General features: G+C 43.2%; 1 protein-coding gene and 1 pseudogene across 1 annotated transcript in view; one reads left to right on the top strand and one right to left on the bottom strand.

The window, feature by feature from the left end:
- Positions 1-16,024, top strand: part of CCNJL (cyclin J like) — a 90,488-nt gene that overhangs the window by 10,094 nt on the left and 64,370 nt on the right. Inside the window, exon 2 of the transcript NR_131769.2 lies at positions 13,972-14,095. The gene's annotated coding sequence lies outside the window, so the exon portion shown is untranslated. The remainder of the gene's footprint in view (positions 1-13,971; positions 14,096-16,024) is intronic.
- SNRPEP1 (SNRPE pseudogene 1) lies at positions 2,352-2,818 on the bottom strand (annotated as a pseudogene).

Here is a 16,024-nt window from a genome sequence, read left to right as displayed (position 1 = left end):
CTGGAGTCTGAGGCGGGAGAATGGCATGAACCCGGGAGGTGGAGCTTGCAGTGAGCCGAGATCATGCCGCTGCACTCCAGCTTGGGCAACAGAGCGAGACTCTGTCTCAAAAAAAAAAAAAAAAAAGAAGACTTCCTTATCATACTGGCTCAGGTTGATGAGCCCCTTTGGGTTGGTTGCTGTGAATCTCTTGTTTTTCAAGAAACTCTCCTGTTTCTAAGTTTAGTTTGACTACATAGCACCTAGCATGAGGGACTCCATTCTGGTTTGATCTGGTCTGCTGGGGCCTAGTATAGGGGCTCAGTCCAAAACAATGTTTTTTTGTCTCATAAATTGTTTTTAACACCTGGACCTCCAGGACTGTGGCTTGGCTCCTAGCTTCCTCTTCCCTTTACCTCCATGTCGGATTCCTCAGCCAAGGCATGGGTTCCAGTGAGGCAGGGGAGCCTCGTGGTTAGAGTACAGACTGTGGAACCAGATGGTCTTGGTTCAAATCTCTGCCCTGGGTAACCTTGGATAAGTTACTCAATCTTTCTGTGCATATAGTAGGGCCTAGTGTGTTGCCATTATTCATTTTTTCTTTTTCTTTTTTTTTTTGAGACAGAGTCTCGCTCTCTTGCCCAGGCTGGAGTGCAGTGGCGTGCTCTTGGCTCACTGCAACCTCCGCCTCCTGGGTTCAAGAGATTCTTCTCCCTCAGCCTCCTGAGTAGCTGGGACTACAGGCACATACCACCACGCACGGCTAATTTTTTTTTTTTTTTGTATTTTTAATAGAGACGGGGTTTCACCATATTGGTCAGGCTGGTCTTGAACTCCTGACCTCGTGATCCCAAAGAGCTGGGATTACAGGAGTAAGCCAATAAGCCCAGTCTTTTTTTTTTTTTAAGAGACAGTATCTTGCTGTGTTGCCCAGGCTGGTCTTGAACTCCTGAGCTCAAACGATCTTACTGCCTTGACCTCCCAAAGTGCTGGGATTACAGGCTTGAGCCACCATGCCCAGTCCGCCATTATTCTTTACAAAACATATCCCAAATCATCTATTTCTCTTCATCCGCGTTATTCCAACACCAGTCCAAGCCACCGGTATCACTTGCCAGGAGTTCTGCAGTAGCCTCCTTAACGGGTGTCCTGTTTCTACTCACTGCCTACTCTAACTCACTCTCATGCTGCAGCCAGGGTGACATTTTGAAACTGAAGATTAATCCCTGTTCCTCCTGTGTTTAAAATCTTCCCATGACTTCTCATCCATGGCATTTAGAATAAAGTCCCAAATCAGTATACCTGGGTTACAGGAAAGTCCCTCACAATCTGGCCTTCCTCTTCACCTCATTTCCTCAGCCACTAAATTCCAGGTTCGCTGCCCTTTCTCTTCTTTAACATGCCACGCGCACTCCTGCGTGAGCCTCTGTACCAGCTGTTCCCTCTGCAGAGTATTCATCCTCTAGCCGGGGCATGGCTGGATTCCTCCTGTCACTCAGCTCTCAATGGAGGCATTCCATGGCCCCAGTGTCAGGGGGTGTCTGATCACTCACTTTGTTCACACCTGTTTTCATTCTCTGCATGGCACTTACTACTTTTTTGTATTGTTTTTTTGTTTTTGTTTGTTTACAATTTGTTCTTCTTTGGATTTCCTCCAAAGCCGACACTGAAACAGGTTTGGATACAGATAGTTTATTTGGATAATGTTGCCAGAAAGCAGGGAAGGTGAGACAGGAAAAGTGCAAAGTCAATGTGAGGGTGTTACTAGCGTCTCTCCTTACTCTGGAGCTTTATCCTGCCAGGACCTCTGACAAGGGTCATACAGAATGCCTCCCAGAGTTGTTCTTCTGAAGGACGGGGGCCATATCCTCTATCGCCAACTCCTGGCCCACCTTGTTGGGGGCTGCCTCTGGGCATTAATTCCTCCCTTCCAGGTTGTGCTTGCCTGAGAGCCAAACTGGTTCCAGCTACATCGCTGCATTGGAGAAGGCTTTGGCAGCCAGAGAAGAGTCAAAGCTTTCCCCTATGGCTGTGGCTGAACTCAGTGGTGGCCCAAGTGGCTGTGCAACAGGTATCAGTGGTGTCTGCTGCCTGCTCCATTTCCCCCAACATCTTCCTAAGTTAAGCTCTTCCTAAGTGGAAATGTGGCTGTTTTGCTCACTGATGCTCCCAAGAGCCTAGCACAGTGCCTGACACAAAGTAGCTATCACTAAATATTAGTTGAATGGACTCCTTTCATCAATCCAAGGGTAGGCACTGCTGTTATCCTCATTATATTCAGACGAGGAAACAAAGACTCACCCAGCTCACATAGGTGGCACAGCTGGAGTATGAGTCCAGGCAATCTGACTTTAGACTTTGAGCTTTTTTTTTTTTTAAATACAAACAATCCCATAGCATTTATTGCCATCTTGTAATAACATAAGGGTAATCAAAACAATACGAATAAATGTTCATATTGGACAAAAAACATCTAAAAACAAACTGTATCCATCTCAACAATTTCTCACTTCATTGTTCATTTCTAGTTGGAGAAACTTCGTAGCAGAGTAATATTATGTCCTTTTAGCATGATCCGACTCGGTCGTATTCATGACTTTGTTTTAGAATGAATCTCTTCTGTATCATCTAATACAAGGTTCATATACTCATCAAAACTAATGATACAGCCTTCTATCCGCATATTCACTTGCTCATAGAGCCACACCTGAATCTGCGATCTATTTTGTAAGTTTATCTGAAGATGAGATTGATGGGCTGCACCATAACCTTCTGCACTTTCTGGCCCTGGCCATGGTATGCCATGGTGGAATTTCACAAAGAGCACACCCACCCGCTGATTTCAAGCTTTTAACTCTAAGAACCTACTTTATCAGTAGCTATAGTTACTGAGGACTATGATTAGAGTTGATCATTTAATTTATATTGGCAGTGTAATCGTTTTGAATATTTATTTTAGAGATTGCCTTGCCTTTATGGCATAATGGCTTTTTTTTTTTTTTTTTTTTTTTGGAGACAGAGTCTAGCTCTGTCGCCCAGGCTGGAATGCAGTTGGAATGCAGTGGTACAATCTTTGCTCACTGCAAACTTCACCTCCCGGGTTCAAGCGATTGTCCTGCCTCAGCCACCCAAGTAGCTAGGGTTACAGATGCGTGCCACCATGCCTGGCTAATTTTTGTATTTTTAGTAGAGACAGGGTTTCACCATATTGGCCAGGCTGGTCTCAAACTCCTGACCTCAGGTGATCCGCCTGCCTCAGCCTCCTAAAGTGTTTGGATTACAGGCTTGTCCTACCCACACCCCACCCGGCATAATGGCTTTCATATTGTGTTAGGATATGATCAAGAGGATTAAGAAGAATGAAAAACTCTAGTATTTCAAAGGCCTTGGAAGACAGGATAAATACTTGCAACTGGCCAGGTCTGATATGGAGTAGGAAGAGGTCCTGGAGTACGTGCACGCTCCACAGTTGGTGCCTTGTAGCAGGAGTTGGCAAACTTTTTTGTAAAGGGCTGGATAGCAAATAGGCTTTCTAGGCCATAGAGTCTCTGTCTCAACTACTCACCTCTGCCACAGTAAAAGGAAAGCATCCACTGTGAATATATAAACAAATGGGTGGGGCTGTGTTCCAATCAAACTTTATTTCTAAAAACAGAGTCCAGGTCAGATTTGGCCCACAGGCTGTGGCTTGCTGACCTGTCTTTGAGGATGTAAGCTAGATCTTCTGACCTTTCAAGAGAAGATGAAAATCAGGATTTTTATGTTAAAAAAAAATCCCAATTCTGAAAATACAGTGTGGGCTGCCAGTTTGCTTGCTTATATTGCCTCAAATATGTGTATACTTTTGTTTAGTAAATAGGACATAAATATCAACAACCATAATACCCATGGCATGTGGAAAATACTGTAGTTCAAAAGAGTGACAAATTCCCCTGGAACAGGCAATAGTCACTAATGGCTTAATGGAGGAGACGGTGCTCAGCTGGGATTTAACAGTTAGGTAAAGTTTTTCCATACGAAATTTAGGATGTGGTAACATTCCCAGCAAAAGCAATAGTATTAGCAAAAATATCTGAGGAACCAGAAATATTCATTTTGACAGGGAGCAACAGGCGATAAGATTGGGCAAGCAGGAAAGGAGACCAATGACTGCTGAGGGGGCTGGAGTCTGGTTTATGGACTGCTCAAAACTGCACTGTAGGGAAGCTGGTGTTAGCAATGCCCATTAACAATTGGGGCATGGAGCAATCAAAAATGGAGAGACTAGTTAACAGACTGCTGTACTAGGCAGTAACTGTTTCTTAAAATGAGCTCTTAACTCAGAGCCAACATGCCCAATTTCTAGCTCAAGAACTAAAATCATAGGATGCCAGAGCTAGGAGGAAGCTCAGAGGTCTAACCACCTCTGCCCCCACTGACAGATGGGGAAGCTGTGATCTGAGAGATGTCACTTGCCCACGGCCACAGAGCAAGCTAGGGCAGAGGCAGGCCTGGAACCCAGTTCCCATGAGCACACACACCAAGTACCTTGGAAGCATATACCCTTGCAAAGGGAGAAAAGGTTTGGCTGCTCGTATTCTATAGTGTAGATCATAAAAGCCCAACACAAAATTTAAAGACAGCAGGAAAAACGTGTGTAACAAATTCAGTAACTAATTCTTCCTTTAGCAAAACTCTAAGACATCAACAGAAAGATTGGTAAAGGACAGTTTGTAGAAGAAGAAATACATATGACAGATAGTCACATTCAGAAAACACCAGTCTTGCTGGAGAGCAAAGAAATGTGAACTACAATGATATATTCAATTTCATAATCAATTTGAGGAAACACTGATTCTAAATATATATTTATTATAGATAGATAGATAGACAGACAGTTTTTTGTGTGTGTTTTTGTGTTTTTGCTTTTTGTTTTTGTTTTTTGGAGACCGAGTTTTGCTCTTGTTGCCCAGGCTGGAGTACAATGGCACGATTTCAGCTCACTGCAACTTTCACCTCCTGGGTTCAAGCAATTCTCCTGCCTCAGCCTCATGAGTAGCTGGGATTACAGGTGCCCGCCACCACGCCTGGCTAATTTTTGTATTTTTAATAGAGACAGGGTTTCACTGTGTTGGCCAGGCTGGTCTAGAACTCCTGACCTCAGGTGATCCGCCTGCCTCGGCCTCCCAAAGTGCTGGGATTACAGGCATGAGCCACCACGCCTGGCCAGATAGATAGATTTAACAATGACTTAGTCTTAGTGAGAATCCACTTTTTAACATTGTTGATGAGGATGTTTTAGTATAGCCTTCCTGGAGGTCAATTCATAATCTATTTCAGAAGTCTTAAAACTATTCATACCCTTTGTATAAGTCAAGTTTCTCTAGAGAACCAGAACCAATAGAAGACGAATGGACTGATGGATTATAAGGAATTGATTAATATGTTCATGGAGGCTGACAAGTCCCAAGATCTGTAGTTGGCAAGCTGGAGACCCATGAGGTCTGAGGGTGTAGCTCCAGCCCAAGCCCACAGGCCTGAGCACCAGAAGAGTCTTGGGGATAGTCCCCGTCGGAATGCAGGTGAGCTTGAAACCCAGAAAGAGCCAATGTTTCAATCTGAGTCCAAAGGTGGGAAAAATCAATGTCCCAACTCAAAGACAGACAGAAAAAGAAATTCTCTTTTACTCAGCCTTTTTATTTTATTCAGGTCTTCAACTGACTAGATGAAGCCCACCACACTGGGGAGGGCAGTCAGCTTCCCTCAGTCCACCAATTCAAATGTGACTGTAGAAACCCCCACAGATATACCCAGATCAGCGTTTAACTAATTATGTGGGCACCCCCTGGCCCAGTCAAGTGGAGGCACAAAATTAACTGTCACACCCTTCATCACAACAATTTCACTTCTAGGAGTGTATCCTCAGGATATTGGAGAAGCATAAAGAAAGGATGTTTTTAGGATTTTCATCTCAGTGTTGTTTACAATGCACAGAGAAAAGCCAGAAACAGCATGAGTTGCCAATAGCTCTTAGTCATATTTAAAATACCTAAAATGAAAGACTGGTTAAATAAATGAATTGCCTATACGATAGAATATTATGTAGCTAGTAAAAATATTTTTGAGCCAGGCACGGTGGCTCACACCCATAATTCCAGCTACTTAAGAGGCTGAGGTGGGAGCTTTGCTAGAGGCCAGGAGTTCAAGACCAGCTTGGGCAACATAGTGAGACACTGCTTCTAAACAAACAAACAAATTTTTGAGGGACTTTTTTTTTTTTTTTTGAGTTGGAGTCTCGCTCTGTTGCCCAGGCTGGAGTGCAGTGTCACGATCTCAGCTCACTGCAACCTCCGCCTCCCGGGTTCAAGCAATTCTCTTGCCTTGGCCTCCCGAGTACCTGGGACTACAGGCACCTGCCACCACACCCAGCTAATTTTTGTATGTTTTTAGTAAAGACGGGGTTTCACCATATTGGCCAGGCTGGTCTCAAGCTCCTGACCTTGTGATCCACCCGCCTCAGCCTCCCAAAGGGCTGGGATTACAGTCGTGAGCCACCGCGCCTGGCCTTGAGGGACATTTTTATTATTTTTTTTTTTAATTTTTTTTGAGATGGAGTGTTGCTCTGTCTCCCAGGCTGGAGTGCAGTAGCGCAATCTCGGCTCACTGCGTCCTCCCTCTGCCTGCCTGTTTCAAGCGATTCCTCTGCCTCAGCCTCCCAAGTAGCTGGGACTACAGGTGCGCTGCGCAACCACGCCCAGCTAATTTTTGTAGCTTTAGTAGAGATGGGGTTTCACCATATTGGCCAGGCTGGTCTCAAGCTCCTGACCTTGTGATCCACCTGCCTCAGCCTCCCAAAGTGCTGGGATTACAGGCGTGAGCCACCGCGCCCAGCCGAGGGACATTTTTAAAGGTATCTCATGAAAAATGCTCGTGAGATCATTTTGGGCTTAGAAGTAGCAGGCTAGGAAACTATGTATGCATACAATTACAACTTAATGATTACACAGTAATTTTGGCTCGCACTTATTCAACACCCTTTATATACCAGGCATCATATCATTTGACCTTCATATAACCCCATAAAGGCAGTACTATTATTATCCCCATTTTGGAAAGAAGGAATCTGGGGTTAGCTAACTTGCTTGAGATCATTAACTAGAAAAAAATCAAAGCCAACATTGAAGTCTGGGGCAGTCTTAGAGCCTTAGCTGTAATACTGAGCTGGTGGAAGCAGGCTGGGTTGGGAAAAGAGGGAAGAGGGCAATACATCAAAAATGTCCTTAGAGACGTGATTAAGTTCCACATCTAAGTAAATGGGAACTTCACCCTTTAGGTGTTCAGAGGTAAAACCTGGGGTCATCTGATTTCTTTCTCTTACACCTCACATCTAGTCCATCAGCAGATCCTATAGGCTCCTGTTTCTAACTATGCTCAAGATCTGGCCCCTCCTCACTCCCTTCACCTCTTCCCCCTGCCCAAGCCAGCCCCATCTCTCAGCTGGATTATTACAGTAGGCTCTGACCTGGTCTGCCTTTCCTCACCCCCACTGCCTATGTGCCTGGCCAAAGACCATTCCATCAATATCACAGTGGTTACCTGCTGGTAGGGGGCAGGGTTGGGGGAGGTGTTGTTCAGGATCTTAATAATATATATATTTTTTGAGACGGAGTCTCACTCTGTCGCCCAGGCTGGAGTGCAGTGGCACCGTCTCGGCTCCACACCCAACTAATTTTTTTGTTGTATTTTTTTAGTGGAGACAGGGTTTCACCATGTTGGCAAGGCTGGTCTTGAACTACTGATCTACCTGCCTCTGCCTCCCAAAGTGCTGGGATTACAGGCGTGAGCCACCGCGCCCGGCCAGGATCTTAATAATATTTTAATCGTGCTTTAATAGTGGTACAAGGAGAATGATACTTGCGTAATCAAGAAATTTTTCATAGATTTCCCAACCCTTCTCCACCCCAAGCCTGAGTCCCCTCAGCTGAGCGGCTGCGACCGTAATCCTTGGCTCTTGAACTTTGGGTCTTTGCAGCCCTGGAAGCTACGGAAGCCCCTCATAGAAGGTGGCTTTGTGGCATCCAGGTGGCCCAAGGAAAGCAGCACCCTGCTGCTGGCAGTGAGGAACTTCTAGGCATGAGGGTCCCCCGGCAGGCTTGTCTGGTCACCTTTCACTGTCCAGTCTCAGTCTCCTTCCTGTTTATTGTCTGTTGGAGGAGCAGGGCTGGCAGGCTCAGGGGGGTTGAAGTTAATGGTGCCTTTTATTTCCTCCTCCTGGAGTCTGGAAAGCTCTTATCCCATTGTTCCCTGCAGAATCCCTGTCAGGCTGGAGGGCTCCTATCACACACCTACGCCAGGGTTTCCAAGCCAGGGCTGATGTGGTGTGTCGCCCACATGGTGGAAAAAAAAGAGAGAGAGAGAAAGAGAGAAGGAAAGAAAGAAAGAAAGAAAGAAAGAAAGAAAGAAAGAAAGAAAGAAAGAAAGAAAGAAAGAAAGAAAGAAAGAAAGAGAGAGAGAGAGAGAGAAAGAAAGAAAGAGAGAGAGGGAGGGAGAGACAGAGAGGAGAGAAGGAGGGAAGGAAGGAAGGAAAGAAGGAAGGAAGGAAGGGACAGAGGGAGGGAGGGAAGAAAGAAAGAAAAAGAAAGAAAGAGAGAAAGAAAGAAAGAAAGAAGGAAAGAAAGAAAGAAAGAAAGAAAGAAAGAAAGAAAGAAAGAAAGAAAGAAAGAAAGAAAGGAAAGAAAGAAAAGAAAGAAAGAAAAGAAAGAGGCAAAGTCAAGCCAGTATTTTAAAATCAGGAGATATCTCAATTTCCTCTTTCTTTTGAAGTCAAACAATCTGGCAATAGTGGGCACCAATTCCCAAGCTTTCACAATTTGAGGGGATGCAGAAGGGGCTCCCCACCCTGGATGCAGCACGCACCCACTGGTCAACCACAGTCCTCATCGCTCCACACTGCTTCCTGGCACTGTGGCTGGTGTGGACATTGACTGTCAAACTCAGGCGGTTTTTTCCTCATAAAGAGGAATACTTCTCTCCCTCCAAGTTTCTTCCAAAGGTTGGGGAGTGGGGGAAGTTAGACCAGGAGGGCCGTAAGTCATCTTCTCGTTATGTTGTCTTCCTGACCCTCTTATCCCCCCAGATTGTGTCCTCTGGGATCGAATCCCACCCCCTCCTTTCACAGAAGGAGAAACTGAGGCCCATGGAAGGAAGGCTACTCACTCAAGCCTCACCATGGGTTCACAGAGCTTGCTTCAGGCTCCAAAGAGCAATGTCATCGGAAGGTTCTAGCCTGCTCTGTTATTATTATGGATGACAAAATAATATTAGAGAGCAATTTATACCTCATGATTCTTCATGTCATACAACAGTCCTTTAAGGAAAGAGTAGTTTTCTCATTTTACTAATATGAACAAGGAGGTCCAAAAAGCATAAGTGGCCCATAGAGGGTCACACACTTTCTAGATCTCATTTGAAAAATGAGGACAGTAACTCCTGACCAGTCTGAAGTCTGGGCCAGGTGATTCCCATAGGTCCCCGTTAGCTCCGCTATCCATGTTATCCATCGTTTATTTATTTATTTATTTATTTATTATTTATTTATTGAGACAGGGTCTTGCTCTGTTGCTCAGGCTGTACTGCAGTGGAGAGATCAGGGCTTACTGCAGCCACGATCTCCCCACCTCAACCTCCCAAGTAGCTGGCACTAACAGGCTTGCACACCACCACACCTGGCTAAATTAAAAAACAAAAAAAATTGTAGAAACGGTCTCACTATGTTTCCTAGGCTCGTCTTAAGCTACTGGACTCAGGTGATCCTCCCACCTCAGCCTCCCAACGTACTGGGATTCCAGACTTGAGTCACTGTGCCTGACCTGTTGTTTATTATTTCAGTAAACCTATATTGACGACGTCCTTTACTGCAGGCACTGGGCTAGATGTTGGGGATACAAATACGGAAAAGATACAGGTCTTGTCTTCGAGGAACCTGAAGTGTGTGGGGTAGATAGATGCAGGTGTGGGAGAACAGAAAGAAAGGCAATGGATAATTATTTGGGAAGTAGGGAAGCCTGCTCTCAGTGATTGCTTGGACATGTGTCACAGTGCTGGCATAAGCTAAGCATGCCGCAAATGATAAATTTTCTCATATTTATCCACAAAAATACATCACTAGCAAGGGGGAAAACTTTGCCACAAGGATTGCTCACAAAGGAGATGGGTGACTTCAGGTTAAAAACAACATGGGCTGGGCGAGGTGACCCTTGCTTGTAGTCCCAGCTACTCAAAAGGCTGAGGCAGGAGGATCCCTTGTTGAACCCAGGAGTTCTAGGCCACAGTGAGCTATGATCATACCACTGCACTCCAGCCTGGATGACAGAGCAAAACTCCATCTCTTAAAACAAAAGAGAAAGAGAGAATATCTTTGGAAGGAAACATAAATGAATTTCTTCTGGGATGGCAGTCAGGTGGGACAGAGTGGGAGCAGTGTGAGATAGTTTTTGGACAGTTTACGGAGCCCTCTCTCAACTTGTTGTGAGTTCTTTCTAAAAATTTTTTATTGAGATATTTTTAAAATATGCTATTTAATGTCATTTTCAGCAAAGAAAAATTCAAAATGTAAAGTATTAGCAAGAGTTTTTATCATTTATATTATGCATGCCAGTTTTAAATGCAAAAATAAGAACACAGCTCACATGCAAAATCACTGAAATTACACAAATTCTATTTTGTAGCCTGAACATGCATATATATTTCATTCTTTCCGTAATGGTGAAAACACTCCACAAAATTAAGTTAACTATTTTTATTTCACTCTCGATACATGCACATCCAATCAACACGCTCTACCTTAGGCATAATACTAATGAGTAAGGAAGAGCTGAAGGAAGAGGAACTATGGGTTGCCCCATTTTTCCCTTTCTATTTATGTCATAATACATGGTTGCCTAACACAGGGACACAACACCCCTAAGAAAGCATATGATAGGGTTCCCCGGTCATTCATCTTTCCTAGAATACTATTGCCTTCTGTTATGGATTGAATGGTGTACCTCCACAAAAGATAAGTTGAAGTCTTAACCCTCAGTAGCTCACAATGTGACCTTATTAGGAAATAGGTTCATTGCAGATGTCATTAGTTCAGATGACATCATATTGAGTAGGGTGGGCCCTTAGTCCAATATGACCGGTGTCCTTGTAAGAAGACATGGCCCGGCGTGGTGGCTCACGCCTGTAATTCCAGCACTTTGGGAGGCCAAGGTGGGTAGATCACCTGAGGTCAGGAGTTCAACACCAGCCTGGTCAACATGGTGAAACCCTGTCTCTACTAAAAATACAAAAATTAGCCAGGCATGGTGGTGCGTGCCTGTAATCCCAGCTACTGGGGAGGCTGAGGCAGGAGAATTGCTTGAACCCTGGAGGCAGTGGTTGCAGTGAGCCGAGATTGTGCTACTGCACTCCAGCCTGGCAACAGAGTGAGACTCCATCTCAAAAAAAAAAAACAAAAAAAGAAGAAGAAAAAGAAGACTACGTGAAGAGAAAGAGAAGAAGCCCGTGTGAAGACACAGGCAGGGTCTGGAGTGCTGTAGCTACAAGCCAAGGAAGAACAAGGGACTCCAGTTGTAATACCTGGCCACCCCCAAAAACCAGGAAGAGGAAAAAAGAATTTTTCCTTAGAGTTTTCAGAGGGAGTGTGGCCCTACTGATGCCTTGATTTGGGACTTCTAGTACCCAGAATCGTGAGAGAGGAAAGTTCTCTTGTTTCAAGCCATCCCATTGTTGTACTTTGTTATGGCAGCCCCAGAAACTGATAACACCTTCTTTCCGTGTTCCAAAGCAAGTTCTAGTTCAAATAGAAAGCACAGCCTCTCAGGTACTCCCCCCACCCCATGCCCACTTGTACACATGATCCACTGACCTTCTGCTCCCTTTGAATGTCACCAAACTCCATGCATCGCAGGTCCACTGGAATTCTATGCTCATGAGGCACGGGATATAGTACATGCAAACAGAGAACGGAACAGCAGACACTTATCATGTGTCTCCTCTGCTCCCTGCATGCTTCACTGTCCTGAAGGACTTCATTTACAAAACACAGGTTCAACGATAAAATTTTCTATATGGATGGAGCTGGCCCTGCGTGAGAGGGAGGTTTATTTTTCACTTATTCCTTCTGTGCCTTTTTAAATTTAAAAAAGTAATGTGGACCAGCTTTATGAATGTCCTAGGCTTTGAGTTCTGTTTGCAAAATGCTGCTTTTTTATTCTTCCTGCCTTGTTCTCAGACCTAATCTGCCGACTCATATCTCAAGAACTTGTAGTCAAGGATCATAAAGGATTTGGCAAATGTTCTCTTGACTAAGTAGAGCACACGATTAAAAATCATTTAAAGGCATTGGATTGGTTTTTGGTTAAAGATCAAAGTGGTAATAAGGCAGATGTCTTCCGTCTGTCTCTATAAACTGAGCCAGGCTTCATGCTTTTGGTCCTGAATGGAGCAGTGCCAACCATTAACACCATGAGGAAACACTATTCAAAGTATATGCCTCAACTTCCCCTGGACAGTTGAGTATTTGAGGAATTTATATGCTTGACCCTGTCAGGATATTCACTGCAGTATGGTTACATGGAAGCAAATATTCACTGCAGTGTGGTTATATGGAAGCAGAAGGCTAGAAATGTATGGACATTCCCAGGCTAAATGTCCACACATCATGATGGATCCATACTATGGAACTACGGGATGCCATGCAGTTCTTTGGGCACTGCCATAAAACAACAAAACACAAAACAGTAAGGCACACAAGGATGTGTAGAGTATGCTACCTTTCATGTAAAAGGAGAAAAAGGCATGAATGTCTACACTGGTGAATGCATAAATCACTTCCGAAGGAAACATAAGACTCTGGTTATCATTGGGGAGGAGGAGAACAAGGCCTGGGACCAGAGGGAGAACGTGTACATTTTTCCATGTTTGAGAGTTTGTATCATATGAAAAGCAAAAGGAAAGTTCAGTGCAAACTGGGCAGTTGATAATATCACAGTGAAAATATTAGACCAATTTGTCCTCTAAGGAAGATTGAAAAGGGCAGATTTTTTTTTTTTTAGGGATATATAAGAAAGCTGAAGATAAGTAGAATGCACTTGCTCTAAATCTGTTGTTCCCAACCTGTGAGCTTCAGAGGTTGAGGGTGGAGGGATGGTAACTGACTCATGGTAAGCACTTAATGAAAGTTTAGTTTTTGAATGGCTTAATGAATGCTTCTTCTTGTCTTGGTTGGGGGTGGATGGGAGAAGTGATTCCAGTTGCATTGGTACTTCCTGCTGCCCGGCACAGGAAGCCTTCTCTGCTAAGGGCACCTGTGGACAGTGACTCAGCACAAAACCATCTGTTTATTGGTGCAATGTATATTTACTCTTCAGAAATACTGAGAAAATGAGGGACTCTGGAGAATGATACACAAAGGGGTGTGGAATGAGTATGCTTAGAATCCTACTGAAATACCCCTGGAGAAAAGCCCAAAGCTTCTGCTTTCCCTCTTAGTTATCCAAACTCCTGATAATTGATAGCTGAAGTTTAGGAAAAGGGCAGTACATATTAGTGAATAATAAAGGCCTGTCTTCTTTCAATGTACCCAGCATAGAAAGACTGGGAAATAAATAATACTGCTATGAAAAACAAAACAAAACAACAATGCTGTTCATTGTTGTTGAATGGAAGAACCCTCTAGTACATATTGATATGTCATGTGATTATTTTAAAGTAACATTCACTCTTTTTTTCTGGTTATGAAATAATGCATATTTCTTGTTGAAAATTTAGAAAATACAGAAATATTAGGAAAAAAGGTAAATTAAAATTTACCATAATCCTACCACTCTGATTACACAGTTAATATTTTTGCATATGTGTGTGTGCATGAATGTAGTTTAACTGGGATCGTACTCTAATCTTTTTTTGTTTTTATTCATCCCCTTAAAGACAGCTTATTCTTTCTCTTGTTTTTGTTTTTGTTTTCAGAGGCAGTGTCTCGCTCTGTTGCCCAGGCTGGAGTGCAGTGGCACAATCACGGCTCACTGCTGCCTCAACCTTTGGTGCTCAAGTGATTCTTCTATTTCAGCTTTCTGAGCAGCTAAGACTACAGGTGTATACCACCACACCTGGCTAGTGTGTGTGTGTGTGTGTGTGTGTGTGTGTGTGTGTGTGTTGGGGGGCGGGGGCGGGATCTTGCTATGTTGCCCAAGCTGGTCTTGAACTCCTGGCCTCATGCAATTCTCCCACCTCAGCCTGCCAGTGTGCTAGGATTACAGGCATGAGCCACCGTGCCCAGCCCAGTTTATCCTTTTTATTTAATAAATTATAAACATTTTCTCCAATTCATCATGCATCCTTTAAAAAATGCTTTTAAGAGACAAATAATTATTAAACCAGTTCCCTGTTCTAATGGTTCACTATGATGAAAAAGCATTTTTGATGAAACACCTTTGAAATAAATCTGCTTTTTTTAAAAGAATAAATTTCTACAGGTGGAAGAGTTGGATCAAATAATACAGTTTAAAATGTTTTGATTTATGTTGTCTTTCAGAAAGATGGTCTTAATTTATATTCCCAACAACACTGTGGATTGACCAAAATTCCTTAACAAAAAAGTACCCCACTGTTTTTTTAAAAAAAGCTTTTAATTTGCATGCTAGGGAGTATGAGCATTTTAAAAATAACATCTATCCATATGAATTCCTTCTCTGACGGCATACCTACTCATGTCTTGCATCCATTTCTGCACGTAGGGTGTTAATGTTTTACATACCGATTTATCAGAGGTCTAGAAAGTAGCATCAACCTTTTGTCACATTTGTTAAAAATATTTTCTCAAATTTGTCGTTTGCCTTTTTGGCAATGATAATTGATGTATCTAGATCCTGCATATTTATTCAAATTTGTCTACTCACCTTGCCTTTGGTTTCTTCCCATGTCTTAGTATCTAGGCCTTCCCCTCCGTATAATTCGTGTATGTTTTCTTCTTATCCTCTTGTGATTTGCTTGTTTGTAGTTCTCTGAGTTCTTATATTTATTTTGGTGATATTTAAACAAGTCCTTAGTTTTACTTTTTTCCCCCAACCTAATTTATTAAATAATTTAGCCGTTTATACTTGTCCCAACAAAGTGAAATGCCACATTTATCATACAGTGAATTTTTAAATATATTAAATTTTCCTAGACTTTCAGTTATTCCACTGATGCTTAATCCATCCATTCTTGTGTGAACACTACACTGTTTTAACTATAGTGTTGCAATATGCTTTAAGATTTGATAATACAGGTCTGTCCCCCCAGTTTTTTTGTTCGTTTGTTTGTTGAGACGGAGTTTCACTCTTGTTGCCCAAGCTGGAGTGCAGTGGCACGATCTCGGCTCACTGCAACCTCCGCCTCCCAGATGCAAGTGACTCTCCTGCCTCAGCCTACCAAGTAGCTGGGATTACAGGCGTGCACCACCACACTCGGCTAATTTTTTGTATTTTTAGTAGAAACAGGGTTTCACCATGTTAGCCAGTTTGGTCTCAAACTCCTGACCTCAGGTGATCTGCCTGCCCTTGGCCTCCCAAAGTGTTGGGATTACAGGCGTGAGCCACCGCGCCCCGCCATCCCCCCATTTTTAAAATATAAATTTCTTAGCTTTTCTCGCAGATATTCTCCCATTTGAAGGTTAGAAAACATGTTAAGTGCCCCCTCCTCCAATCTACCCACAACCATTAAAATTTTATTAAATAGAGTAATTTGGGTTAAGTTGGTGTTTGTGCCTCTATTCCTTCAAGCCTTCTTTATTATGTTTCAACCTTTGTAATGTCTTCATTAAGAGCCTGCACATTTATTCAGTTTATTTTTAGGTATCTTACACTTTTAAAATGGTTCGTTTGTTTTACATTAAAACTGCTCTTCAAGGTCCAATTGAAGCTTATCAAAGCTGATTTAATTTTTTTTTCCCAGGTGTGTCTTTATGTGCAGGAAAGCAGTCAGAAACTAAAGGCTCTTCAGTCACAGTTGTTTACTGAGTGTTCACTTAATACCTGGTGTA

This window comes from Homo sapiens, chromosome 5, assembly GCF_000001405.40.
Source record: "Homo sapiens chromosome 5, GRCh38.p14 Primary Assembly".
Lineage (NCBI taxonomy): Eukaryota > Metazoa > Chordata > Mammalia > Primates > Hominidae > Homo > Homo sapiens.
This window is presented reverse-complemented; position numbering and strand designations above follow the sequence as displayed.